The sequence below is a fragment of the Homo sapiens genome, chromosome 8 (genome assembly GCF_000001405.40).
Source record: "Homo sapiens chromosome 8, GRCh38.p14 Primary Assembly".
NCBI classification, from domain to species: domain Eukaryota; kingdom Metazoa; phylum Chordata; class Mammalia; order Primates; family Hominidae; genus Homo; species Homo sapiens.
This window is the reverse complement of record NC_000008.11, coordinates 66,314,032-66,327,452: the sequence shown is the minus strand read 5'-3', so window position 1 is coordinate 66,327,452 and position 13,421 is coordinate 66,314,032. Positions and strand designations below refer to the sequence as shown.

Genomic DNA, 13,421 nt, shown 5'->3' with positions numbered 1-13,421 from the left:
GGGAATTGTTGATTGTCTGGCTGCTTCCTGCTGAATAGGGGCTCTGTAATCAAGGTTTGGGTTTTGAAGCAGTGGGTGTCTGACTTCAGAGTTCTTTTCCTGGAGGCGCTGATACTGGACTTGGTGGAAGAGAAGGGTGGTATCACTGTGTTTCTGGGTGGCTGTCTGGACAAGGGAGTTCAGCCTTTGGGAGATAAAGCAGGATATGAAGGTGAGTATACATTAGCTAATTATTAGTATTAGGAGGAGGAAGATTAGGGGCTCTAAGAAAGGGGCAACCTGCTGTCCCAATGCTGAGTGCAGCAGAGATGTTTAGTCCTGCCAACAGGGGAATGAAGTGTATAGTTTGCTTGGTGTGTGTGGAGAAGGAGGAAATAGGGATTACTAAAGGAGCCTGAATGGTCTAATGTTTACAGATTGAAACACCAGGGTGTATGTTTTTGACCCACCTGCCTGCAGGCAAAGATAAAAGCGTTTGTTTCACACAGAAAAGACCGGGGTTTGACAGGCAAAATTTGACACTGAAGGTAGCAAGCCTTGAGAAGTTGGGGGTTGAATCCTGGACAAACTTTTTGTTCCAACTTTTTGTTTTTCCAAATTGAATAGCTGCTAGCAAGGGTAGCCCCTGGGAAGGCCTGATAGGGAATGCTGGTGAGGGAGGAGGCAAAGGTGTTTGGTTTTGGAGAGAGAGGAAAATGGGTTTTTGTTAACTAATAGCCATTGCAGTCCTGATAGGGCAGAGGGATAAAGGTTGCATTTGAGGGAATTATGTGCTGTGATAGTTAATACTGAGTATCAACTTGATTGGATTGAAGGCTACGTGGTGAAACCCCGTCTCTACTAAAAATACAAAAAAGATTAGCTGGGTGTGGTAGCAGGTGCCTGTAATCCCAGCTACTTGGGAGGTTTAGAAATCAACAGTATATATTAAATAAGTTGTCTTTAAACAGAAAATCACATAAAACAAGGGTATATGTTGATTGATTGATGAAAATGTGATTAGAGCCTCTGAGAAATCTAACCCTGTGTTTCCCCTAAGAGCAATGGTTTAATATTGATTAATTCAGTGTTTGTGGCAACTTCATAGAATATAACAATTGTAAATAAAAAGAATGAACTGTAGTTAGAGATTTATATGCCTGAGAACAATGTAGGAAATTTCCTAATGAACCATATTCCCGAAAAACCCATATAATGTCAGATTTTGATGGTGGATATGCAGTAATATTCCATAATTGCTTTAATTTGCATTTTCTTATTACTAATGAAATTGAGTAACAAGAAAATTGAATATTTTCATAGGTTTATTGGCTATTTGAATATTCTTTTGAATTGCCCACTCAAAGTCTTTGGGACATTTTGAATGGATTGCCTTTTTAAGTGATTTTCAGAAGTTAAAAAAATTGCAATTTAGATAGTAGTCCTTTGTCAATTATAGGTGTTCTGGATACCTTCTCTTTGTGATTTTTTTTTCACTTTCCTGATGGTGGCTTTTGGTAAGTTTAGACTTTCAACTTGTCATTTAATGTAATATAATTTATTCATCATTCCCTTTATGTTCATGCTTACTGTGTCTTGTTTAAGAAGTTCTTTCCTATCAAAATACTATGAAGATATTTTTCTACACTTTACCTTTCCTATTTAGATCAACAATTCATCAGGAATTGATTTTTGTTTAAGGTCAAGATTCTCCCCTCCCCTTGCCCCCATATGAGTAATCAGTTGACACAGCGCCATTTATTGAAAAGACTGTTTCCCTTACTGTTGTACAGTGTTACCTTTGTCATAAACCAAATGTCCATATGTGTCTTGGCTTGTTATGGGACTCTATTATATCCCATTGGTCTATTTGTCTATCCTTGCCCTGATACCACGTGGTCTTAATTACTGTAGCTTTATAATAAATATTGTATATAAGATTTCCAACTTTGTTCTTTTTCTGAAAAATTATTTTGGCTATTTTGGGTCCTTTGCACCTTTGCATTTCTATAAAAATTTTAGATCTCTTTATAGATTTTTGCAAAAATAACCTCTTGGGATTGTGATTGTGATTTCACTTGTGGATTTCAGATTAAAACCGAGAGTAGTTGAAATCTTTATTTAGTTTTCAAATCCATGGTATATGCCTTCATTTATTTGGGTCTTCTTTAGTGTTCTTCAATAAAGTTTGTAATTTCCTTTATAAAGGTCTTGCATAATTTAGGACAGACTTAATGACCTCATACATTTGATGCTACTGTACATGATGTTTTTATGCTTACATTTTGTAATTTTTTTGGTTGGAATGTAGAAATGCAAATGCTTATTTATTTTATATCCAGCAACCCTGCTATTAATTCTCTGATTATTATAAATCTAATTTAGGTTATTATGGATTTTCCACAAAACCAATTATATCATCCAGTAATGACAGTTTTATTCTTCTGGGACTCTGATAAAATATTTGCTAGACTTTCCCACTATAGCTTCTATGTCTTTTAGTCTTTCTTATTTTCCTTGTCTTTCTCCTCATTCTGGGTAATTTCTTCTGCTGTATCTTCCAGTTTACTAATTATTCTTTAGCTCTCTGTACTCTAATTTTAAACCCATCTGTTTTGTTTTGAAGTTCAATTGCTACAATTTTCTAGAAGTTTCATTCTGTTCTTTTTCACATTTGCTTGGTACCTTTTAATATATTTTCCTATTTCTTGCAAATATTTTCAAGTTTGATTTCCATTTCTTTAAATAAAACAAGCAGAGTTTTTTTTTTAATTCTTCAGATAATTCCTTTATCTGAAGTGTTTGTATATCTGTTTTTTAATGTCTACATTTTCTGCTGAATTTCGATTATTTTTTTCCCTCTGTGTTTTGTGTTTTTCGATTGTAATCTGTATATGTATGTATGTATATAAGTATGAATATATTTATTTTTTAAAATAATTCTTTGAGGTCTAAGATAAAGTTATATTTCTCTAGAGAAGATTTATTTTTGCTTTTGCTAGGTGCCCGATTCATAAATCTAATAGAGAATAAAATTTCCTGACTTGTAGAATGTTAAGTACAGTTACCAAATGAGGTAAAATAGTCAAAGTCCACCTGCTCCTAAAGAAAAAATAAAATTGGCTTTATTTAAATCAAGGAACTGTTTTATGTTTGAGCTGACTGTTTATTAAGTATACTATTCTGTAATTTGAGAGAATATGGTTCTGCACTTTCAAAAAGGTTGATAAATTATTTCTAGGCCTAAGTGTCAGTTATCTGGCTAAAATGTTTGGCTCTTAGTATGAGAATTCATTCTTATCCTGGGCCTTGTCCAACAATTATTACTATGTCCCATTTTTGGAAAAATTTCAGTCAAAAATCATTATATCCTGGTGGAATTAAGAATAATCACTGCCTCACTGTCTTCTGGCTATTGCCTGAACATTCCTGAAGCATTCTATTACAAATAAAAGCAATATAGACAAGTCATTGTTTTAAGGTGCTTGTCAGTGTCAGAAAAGTTTCCAATAGATGAAAATAACTTTTTCGGTGGGGAGCTGGAAAAAATTAATTAATTACCACTAGATGTCTATGATACCATGCCATTTTTATTATCCAACTTAACTAATGTTTATTGAGTATCAGCTAACCTCCTCCATCACTGTATCATGTAAAATTGCATAAAGATGCATAAAGACAGAAGGAATTTTATAGCAAATACTAATACACCCACTACCTAGATTCCATATTTAATATTTTGAAATTTGTTTTACCACCTAACCATTTACCTGTCTGTATATTCATTGTAATTTTTAATGCACTTCAGAGTAAATTGCAGACTGCACTTCTCCCCTAAATACTTCATTCGGTATGCCTATCATTAGAGTTCAATATTTATTCAGTTAATTCTTACTGTAGATTCCATATCTCTTAGTCGTTCTTGAGGTAAACGTTATATTCTGTTACATTCACAAAATTTCAATGTAACATGCAATGACTTTTGATTAACACATACACCCCATCTGTATCAACAGAAGAGCATTAACCATCACCTTAGAAATTTCCCTCAGGCTCCTTCTCAGCCATTTCCTGTGACCCCCTCAGAGACAGCCACTATTCTTCCGCAATGGTTGAACTAGTTTACAGTCCCGCCAACAGTGTAAAAGTGTTCCTATTTCTCCACATCCTCTCCAGCACCTGTTGTTTCCTGACTTTTTAATGATCGCCATTCTAACTGGTGTGAGATGGTATCCCATTGTGGTTTTGATTTGCATTTCTCTGATGGCCAGTGATGATGAGCATTTTTTCATGTGTCTTTTGGCTGCATAAATGTCTTCTTTTGAGAAGTGTCTGTTCATATCCTTCACCCACTTTTTGATGGGGTTGTTTGTTTTTTTCTTGTAAATTTGTTTGAGTTCTTTGTAGATTCTGGATATTAGCCCTTTGTCAGATGAGTAGATTGCAAAAATTTTCTCCTATTCTGTAAGTTTCCTGTTCACTCTGATGGTAGTTTCTTTTGCTGTGCAGAAACTCTTTAGTTTAATTAGATCCCATTTGTCAATTTTGGCTTTTGTTGCCATTGCTTTTGGTGTTTTAGACATGAAGTCCTTGCCCATGCCTATCTCCTGAATGGTATTGCCTAGGTTTTCTTCTAGGGTTTTTATGGTTTTAGGTCTAACATTTAAGTCTTTAATCCATCTTGAATTAATTTTTGTATAAGGTGTAAGGAAGGGATCCAGTTTCAGCTTTCTACATATGGCTAGCCAGTCTTCCCAGCACCATTTATTAAATAGGGAATCGTTTCCCCATTTATTGTTTTTGTCAGGTTTGTCAAAGATCAGATAGTTGTAGATATGCGGCATTATTTCTGAGGGCTGTGTTCTGTTCCATTGGTCTACATCTCTGTTTTGGTACCAGTACCATGCTGCTTTGGTTACTGTAGCCTTGTAGTATAGTTCGAAGTCAGGTGGCGTGATGCCTCCAGCTTTGTTCTTTTGGCTTAGGATTGACTTGGCAATGCGGGCTCTTTTTTGGTTCCATATGAACTTTAAAGTAGTTTTTTCCAAATCTGTGAAGAAAGTCATTGGTAGCTTGATGGGGATGGCATTGAATCTATAAATTACCTTGGGCAGTATGGCCATTTTCACGATATTGATTCTTCCTATCCATGAGCATGGAATGTTCTTCCATTTGTTTGTATCCTCTTTTATTTCACTGAGCAGTGGTTTGTAGTTCTCCTTGAAGAGGTCCTTCGCATCCCTTGTAAGTTGGATTCCTAGGTATTTTATTCTCTTTGAAGCAGTTGTGAATGGGAGTTCACTCATGATTTGGCTCTCTGTTTGTCTGTTATTGGTGTAAAGAATGCTTGTGATGTTTGCACATTGATTTTGTATCCTGAGACTTTGCTGAAGTTGCCTATCAGCTTAAAGGGATTTTGGGCTGAGACAATGGGGTTTTCTAGATATAAAATCATGTCATCTGCAAACAGGGACAATTTGACTTCCTCTTTTCCTAATTGAATACCCTTTATTTCCTTCTCCTGCCTGATTGCCCTGGCCAGAACTTCCAACACTGTGTTGAATGGGGTGGTGAGAGAGGGCATCCCTGTCTTGTGCCAGTTTTCAAAGGGAATGCTTCCAGTTTTTGCCCATTCAGTATGATATTGGCTGTGGGTTTGTCATAGATAGCTCTTATTATTTTGAGATACGTCCCATCAATATCTAATTTATTGAGAGTTTTTAGCATGAAGGGTTGTTGAATTTTGTCAAAGGCCTTTTCTGCATCTATTGAGATAATCATGTGGTTTTTGTCATTGCTTCTGTTTATATGCTGGATTACATTTATTGATTTGCGCATGTTGAACCAGCCTTGCATCCCAGGGATGAAGCCCACTTGATCATGGTGGATAAGCTTTTTGATGTGCTGCTGGATTTGGTTTGCCAGTATTTTATTGAGGATTTTTGCATCGATGTTCATCAGGGATATTGGTCTAAAATTCTCTGTTTTTGTTGTGTCTCTGCCAGGCTTTGGTTTCAGGATGATGCTGGCCTCATAAAATGAGTTAGGGAGGATTCCCTCTTTTTCTATTGATTGGAATAGTTTCAGAAGGAATGATACCAGCTCCTCCTCCTCATACCTCTGGTAGAATTTGGCTGTGAATCCATCTGGTCCCGGACTTTTTTGGTTGGTAAGCTATTAATTATTGCCTCAATTTCAGAGCCTGTTATTGGTCTATTCAGAGATTCAACTTCTTCCTGGTTTAGTCTTGGGAGGGTGCATGTATCGAGGAATTTATCCATTTCTTCTAGATTTTCTAGTTTATTTGCATAGAAGTGTTTATAGTATTCTCTGATGGTAGTTTGTATTTCTGTGGGATCGGTGGTGATATCCCCTTTATCATTTTTTATTGCATCTATTTGATTCTTCTCTCTTTTCTTCTTTATTAGTCTTGCTAGCAGTCTATCAAATTTGTTGATCTTTTCAAAAAACCAGTTCCTGGATTCATTGATTTTTTGAAGGGTTTTTTGTGTCTCTATTTCCTTCAGTTCTGCTCTGATCTTAATTATTTCTTGCCTTCTGCTAGCTTTTGAATGTGTTTGCTCTTGCTTCTCTAGTTCTTTTAATTGTGATGTTAGGGTGTCAATTGTAGATCTTTCCTGCTTTCTCTTGTGGGCATTTAGTGCTATAAATTTCCCTGTACACACTGCTTTGAATGTGTCCCAGAGATTCTGGTACGTTGTGTCTTTGTTCTCATTGGTTTCAAAGAACATCTTTATTTCTGCCTTCATTTCGTTTTGTACCCAGTAGTCATTCAGGAGCAGGTTGTTCAGTTTCCATGTAGTTGAGCGGTTTTGAGTGAGTTTCTTTATCCTGAGTTCTAGTTTGATTGCACTGTGGTCTGAGAGACAATTTGTTATAATTTCTGTTCTTTTACATTTGCTGAGGAGTGCTTTACTTCCAACTATGTGGTCAATTTTGGAATAGGTGTGTTGTGGTGCTGAGAAGAATGTATATTCTGTTGATTTGGGGTGGAGAGTTCTGTAGATGTCTATTAGGTCTGCTTGGTGCAGAGCTGAGTTCAATTCCTGGATATCCTTTTTAACTTTCTGTCTCATTGATCTGTCTAATGTTGAAAGCGGGGTGTTAAAGTCTCCCATTATTATTGTGTGGGAGCCTAAGTCTCTTTGTAGGTCTCTAAGGACTTGCTTCATGAATCTAGGTGCTCCAATATTGGGTGCATATATATTTAGGATAGTTAGCTCTTCTTGTTGAATTGATCCCTTTACCATTATGTAATGGCCTTCTTTGTCTCTTTTGATCTTTGTTGGTTTAAATTCTGTTTTATCAGAGACTAGGCTTGCAACCCCTGCCTTTTTTTGTTTTCCATTTGCTTGGTAGATCTTCCTCCATCTCTTTATTTTGAGCCTATGTGTGTCTCTGCACGTGAGATGGGTTTCCTGAATACAGCACACTGTTGGGTCTTGACTCTTTATCCAATTTGCCAGTCTGTGTCTTTTAATTGGAGCATTTAGCCCATTTACATTTAAGGTTAATATTGTTATGTGTGAATTTGATCCTGTCATTATGATGTTAGCTGGTTATTTTGCTCATTAGTTGATGCAGTTTCTTCCTAGCCTTGACGGTCTTTACAATTTGGCATGTTTTTGCAGTGGCTGGTACTGATTGTTCATTCCGTGTTTAGTGCTTCCTTCAGGAGCTCTTGTAAGGCAGGCCTGGTGGTGACAAAATCTCTCAGCATTAGCTTGTCTGTAAAGGATTTTATTTCTCCTTCACTTATGAAGCTTAGTTTGGCTGGATATGAAATTCTGGGTTGAAAATTCTTTTCTTTAAGATTGTTGAATATTGGCCCCCACTCTCTTCTGGCTTGTGGAGTTTCTGCTGAGAGATCAGCTGTTAGTCTGATGGGCTTCCCTTTGTGGGTAACCTGACCTTTCTCTCTGGCTGCCCTTAACATTTTTTCCTTCATTTCAACTTTGGTGAATCTGACAATTATGTGTCTTGGAGTTGCTCTTCTCAAGGAGTATCTTTGTGGCGTTCTCTGTATTTCCTGAATTTGAATGTTGGCCTGCCTTGCTAGATTGGGAAAGTTCTCCTGTATAATATCCTGCAGAGTGTTTTCCAACTTGGTTCCATTCTCCCCATCACTTTCAGGTACACCAATCAGATGTAGATTTGGTCTTTTCACATAGTCCCATATTTCTTGGAGGCTTTGTTCGTTTCTTTTTATTCTTTTTTCTCTAAACTTCTCTTCTTGCTTCATTTCATTCATTTGATCTTCCATCACTGATACCCTTTCTTCCAGTTGATCGAATTGGCTACTGAGGCTTGTGCATTTGTCACGTAGTTCTCATGCCGTGGTTTTCAGCTCCATCAGGTCCTTTAAGGACTTCTCTGCATTGGTTATTCTAGTTAGCCATTCATCTAATTTTTTTTCAAGGTTTTTAACTTCTTTGCCATGGGTTTGAACTTCCTCCTTTAGCTTGGAGTAGTTTGATCGTTTGAAGCCTTCTTCTCTCAACTTGTCAAAGTCATTCTCCGTCCAGCTTTGTTCCGTTGCTGGTGAGGAGTGCATTCCTTTGGAAGAGAGGTGCTCTGATTTTCAGAGTTTCCAGTTTTTCTGCTCTGTTTGTTCCCCATCTTTGTGGTTTTATCTACCTTTGGTCTTTGATGATGGTGATTTACAGATGGGGTTTTGGTGTGGATGTCCTTTCTGTTTGTTAGTTTTCCTTCTAACAGTCAGGACCCTCAGCTGCAGGTCTATTGGAGTTCGCTGGAGATCCACTCCAGACCCTGTTTGCCTGGGTATCAGCAGCAGAGGCTGCAGAACAGCAGATATTGGTGAACTGCAAATGTTGCTGCCTGATCGTTCCTCTGGAAGTTTTGTCTCAGAGGAGTACCCGGCTGTGTGAGGTGCCAGTCTGCCCCTACTAGGGGGTGCCTCCCAGTTAGGCTACTCGGGGGTCAGGGACCCACTTGAGGAGGCAGTCTGTCTCTTCTCAGATCTCCAGCTGTGTGCTGGGAGAACCACTACTGTCTTCAAAGCTGTCAGACAGGCACAGTTAAGTCTGCAGAGGTTTCTGCTGCCTTTTGTTTGGCTATGCCCTGCCCCCAGAGGTGGAGTCTACAGAGGCAGGCAGGCCTCCTTGAGCTGCGGTGGGCTCCACCCAGTTCGAACTTCCTGGCCGCTTTGTTTACCTAATCAAGACTCGGCAATGGCGGGCACCCCTCCCCCAGCCTCGCTGCTGCCTTGCAGTTTGATCTCAGACTGCTGTGCTAGCAAGGAGCAAGGCTCCGTGGGCATAGGACCCTCCGAGCCAGGCGCAGGATATAATCTCCTGGTGTGCCGTTTGCTAAGACCATTGGAAAAGCACAGTATTAGGGTGGGAGTGACCTGATTTTCCAGGTGCCATCTGTCACCCCTTTCTTTGACTAGGAAAGGGAATTTCCTGACCCCTTGTGCTTCCCGGGTGAGGCGATGCCTCACCCTGCTTTGGCTCATGCTCGGTGCGCTGCACTCACTGTCTTGTACCCACTGTCTGACACTCCCCAGTGAGATGAACCCGGTACCTCAGTTGGAAATGCAGAAATCACCCATCTTCTGCGTCACTCACACTGGGAGCTGTAGATTGGAGCTGTTCCTATTCAGCCATCTTGGCTCCTCCCCCCCCTTTTTTAAAAAATAATTATTATTTTTTTGAGACAAAGTTTCGCTCTTATCGCCCAGGCTGGAGTGCAATGGCGTAATCTCAGCTCACTGCAACCTCTGCCTCCTAGGTTCAAGTGATTCTCCTGCCTCAGCCTCCCAAATAGCTGGAATTACAGGAGCCCGCCACCATCGTGCCTGGCTAACTTTTGAATTTTTAGTGGAGATGGAGTTTCACCATATTGGCCAGGCTGGTTGTGAACTCCTGACCTCAGGTGATCCACCTGCCTCAGCCTCCCAAAGTGCTGGGATTACAGGTCTGAGCCAACGCACCTGGCCTGTACTACCCTTTTATAGACACAGCCACTTCCCTCCTTCCCCCACAACCCTTGGCAACCATGAATCTTTTCTCCATCTCTATAATTTTGCTGTTCGAGAATGTTATGTAAATGAGATCATACAGAATTTAACTTCCTGGGACTGGCTTTTATCACTCAGCATAATTCTCTAGAGGTTGTTCCAGGACGTTGTGTGTATCAGTAGTTCTTTATTGCTGAGTAGTACTCCGTGGTGTGTTTGTACTACTTTGTTTAAACAACTCACCCTTTGAAAGATATTTTGGTTGTTTCCAGTTTGGGGCTATTATGAGTATAGCTGCAATAAACAGTCATATACACGTTTTTGTGTGAATGTAAGTTTTCATTTCTCTGGGATAAATACCCAAGTGTTAAATTGATAGGTCATATGGTAGGGAGATATTTAGTTTCGTTTGTTTGTTTGTTTTGTTTTACATTTTTGTATTACGATAAAATATTACATTTGCCATTTAAACCTTTTTTTTTTTTTTCAATATGGAGTCTCACACTGTCTCCTGGGCAGGAGTGCAGTGGCGCTATCTTGGCTCACTGCAACCTCTGCCTCCCAGGTTCAAGCAATTCTCCGTGTATCAGCCTCCCAAGTAGCTGGGATTACAGGCACCCACTACCATGCCCGGCTAATCTTTTTTGTATTTTTAGTAGAGACGGGGTTTCACCATGTTGGCCAGGCTGGTCTCGAACTCCTGACTTCGTGATCCGCCTGCCTCAGGCTCCCAAAGTGCTAGGATTACAGGCATGAGCCACCATACCCGGCCCATTTAAACCATTTTTAAGTGTACAATTTAATGGCACTAATTATATTTACAATCTGTGCAACCATCGCCACTATCTATTTCAAAACTTTTTCATCACCCCAATACAAACTCTGTAATTATTAAGCAATAACTCTCTACTTTTCCCTCCCCACTGTACCTGGTAACTTCTAATCTTGCTGTCTTTTTGAATTTACCTATTCTAGATATTTCTTATAAGTGAAATCATACAATATTTGTTCTTTTGTGTCTAGCTTATTTCACTTAGCATATTTTCAAGATTCACCCATGTTGTAGCATTTATCAGAACTTTATTCCTTTTTATGACCAAAATTCCATTTATGTACATTCCACATTTTGTTTAGCCATTCATCTGTTGATGGAAATGTAGGTTTTCACCTTTTGGCTATTATGAATAATGTTCCAATGAACACTGTTGTACAAGTATCTGTTTGAATTCCTGTTTTCAATTCTTTTGGGTATATACCTCGAAGTGGAATTTCTAGGTCATATGGTAATTCCATATTTAGCTTTTTGAAGATGTGTACAAATTTTTATGTGAATATTAGCTTTCATCTCCCTGGAATACATGTCCAAGAGTGAAACTGCTGAGTCATATGGTAGGCACTTGTTTGGTTATGTAAGCAGCTACCAAACTGTTTTTCAGAGCAGCTGTTCCATTTTACCTTCCTATCAGCAATGTATCAGTGATCCTGCTTCTCTGCATTCTTGCTATCACTTAGGATTATCACTGTTAAAAATGAATTCTGGTAGATGTGTAGTGACATCTCATTGTAGTTTTAACTTGTATTTGCCTAGGGCCTAATGATGTTGAACATTTTTCCTGTGCTTATTTGCCATCTGAATATTCTCTTCGGTGAAATATGTCTCTTAATGTCTTTTCAAATTGGCTTTTAAAAAAGCTGTTGACTTTTGAGAGCTCTTATGTACTCTAGGTAGAAGTCCTTTGTTGGTTACGTGGTTTGCAAATATTTTCTCCCAGTCTGTGCGTTTTCAATCCTCTTTACAGGGTCTTTTACAGAGCAAACTTAAAAAAATAGCTTTATTAAGATACAATTCATGCTACATGGTTCACTTATTTAAAGTGTACAGTTCAATGGTTTTTTGTACCTCCACACATATATGCAACCATCACCACGGTCAACTGTAGAACATTTTCATCGACCCAGAAAAACTTTGTACCCTTAGCTATTCCCTCTGTATATGTAGACTTTTGTGACTGGCTTCTTCCAGAATGCTAGTTGTGAATAATGCAGGAAATTGATATTACTAAATGAGTAAGATTTGGGCCATCTTGTACACTAACAAATCTCTTTTTAAAATTATTATTTTATTTTATTTTACCTTGTGTAGGGACAGAGTCTCACTCTGTTGCCCTGGCTGGTCTCAAACTCCTGGCCTCAAGCGATCCTCTCACCTTTGGCCTCCCCAAGCGTTGGGATTACATGCTTGAGCCACCACGCATGGCTAACAAAGTCTCTTATAAAAGAAAGATTATTGTCCTAATCTTAACCTGTAATATTAATACAAAACATGTAGCAACATAATCTGGCTATTGTTATTTTAATAACTTGTATTTCTATATACCATATGACTATGTAAAACTGAAAGTTCTTATAAAATACCATTTATAATTATTCCAGAGAAAATGAAATAGTTACATATAAATCTAACAAAACATGGCCACATCTGTATACCGAAAATTATAAAATGCTGATGAATAAAGAAAAATCAAAGATGACCTAAATAAACATTTTAAAAATACGTTTTCTAGTATTGTAAGGGAATTTATTAACATTTTATTTTTAAAAATATACTTTTTCTAATGATAGCAATTATTTTCTCCTGTAAGGCCATCATAAAACAGAAAATGGAAGTTATAGAATCAGAGGTTGTACATAATTCACTTTCTGTAGGTTTCCATAGTCTTTGAAAATTAAGATTCTTACTAAGTCACATGTGTACTTTAAAGACAATACATTCAAATTACATATAAGAGTGATACTGCCCTATAGCCTCATAGGTTTTTATTTGAACCACTCAAGGGCCAGGCACAGATCTCTGTTAAATTTGATAGTCTGCATTTTCATTTTTGGATTCATTACTGTCTATGTGTGATCTTTTTATTCACAGACGATGCTTCTGACTGGTTGTCAGTAACGCATGTGCTCTAAGTTATTTTTATGACCCATCAACCAGATAGTAATTGAAATCCTGCTGTGTGGCCTGTTCTGGGTGACATGGGAGCAGATAAAAGATGTGGAGGATATGGATTCTGCCCTCTGAAATCTCAGTGTACTTGGGCAGACAGGTTCTTGTAAGATACTACAGAATATCAAAGTGCATTGTGCAGACACTTAGAGGAGAGTTCAGGTTTGAAAAGACAACAACCATGATACACCAACAGTAAACACACAATAAGTTAGGAAAGGGAGATTCTTATTCCTTCCTTAGAGATGGCATTACCGTCTTTTATTTTCCTCATAGCTCTAAGTGTGCATTTAAATATTTATTTGCTCTTACTTACTTACATTCTTGTCTATCTCCTCACAAGAATGTAAGTTCCATGAGGTTTCAGGTTCAATATGAGAAGTGGACTGTAGGGAAAAGAAAGAGAGATCAGACTGCCACTGTGTCTATGTAGAA

General features: G+C 38.1%; 1 long non-coding RNA gene across 5 annotated transcripts in view, besides 1 other annotated feature; it reads left to right on the top strand.

Moving 5' to 3' along the window:
- Positions 1 to 13,421, top strand: part of LOC102724687 (uncharacterized) — a 233,269-nt gene that overhangs the window by 104,914 nt on the left and 114,934 nt on the right. The window lies entirely within an intron of this gene.
- Positions 392 to 592: a silencer, noted in NCBI's record as "peak7057 fragment used in MPRA reporter construct". NCBI's record gives its function as "represses an SCP1 promoter by STARR-seq MPRAs in K562 erythroleukemia cells {active_cell/tissue: K562}" and the evidence as "EXISTENCE:reporter gene assay evidence [ECO:0000049][PMID:32103011]".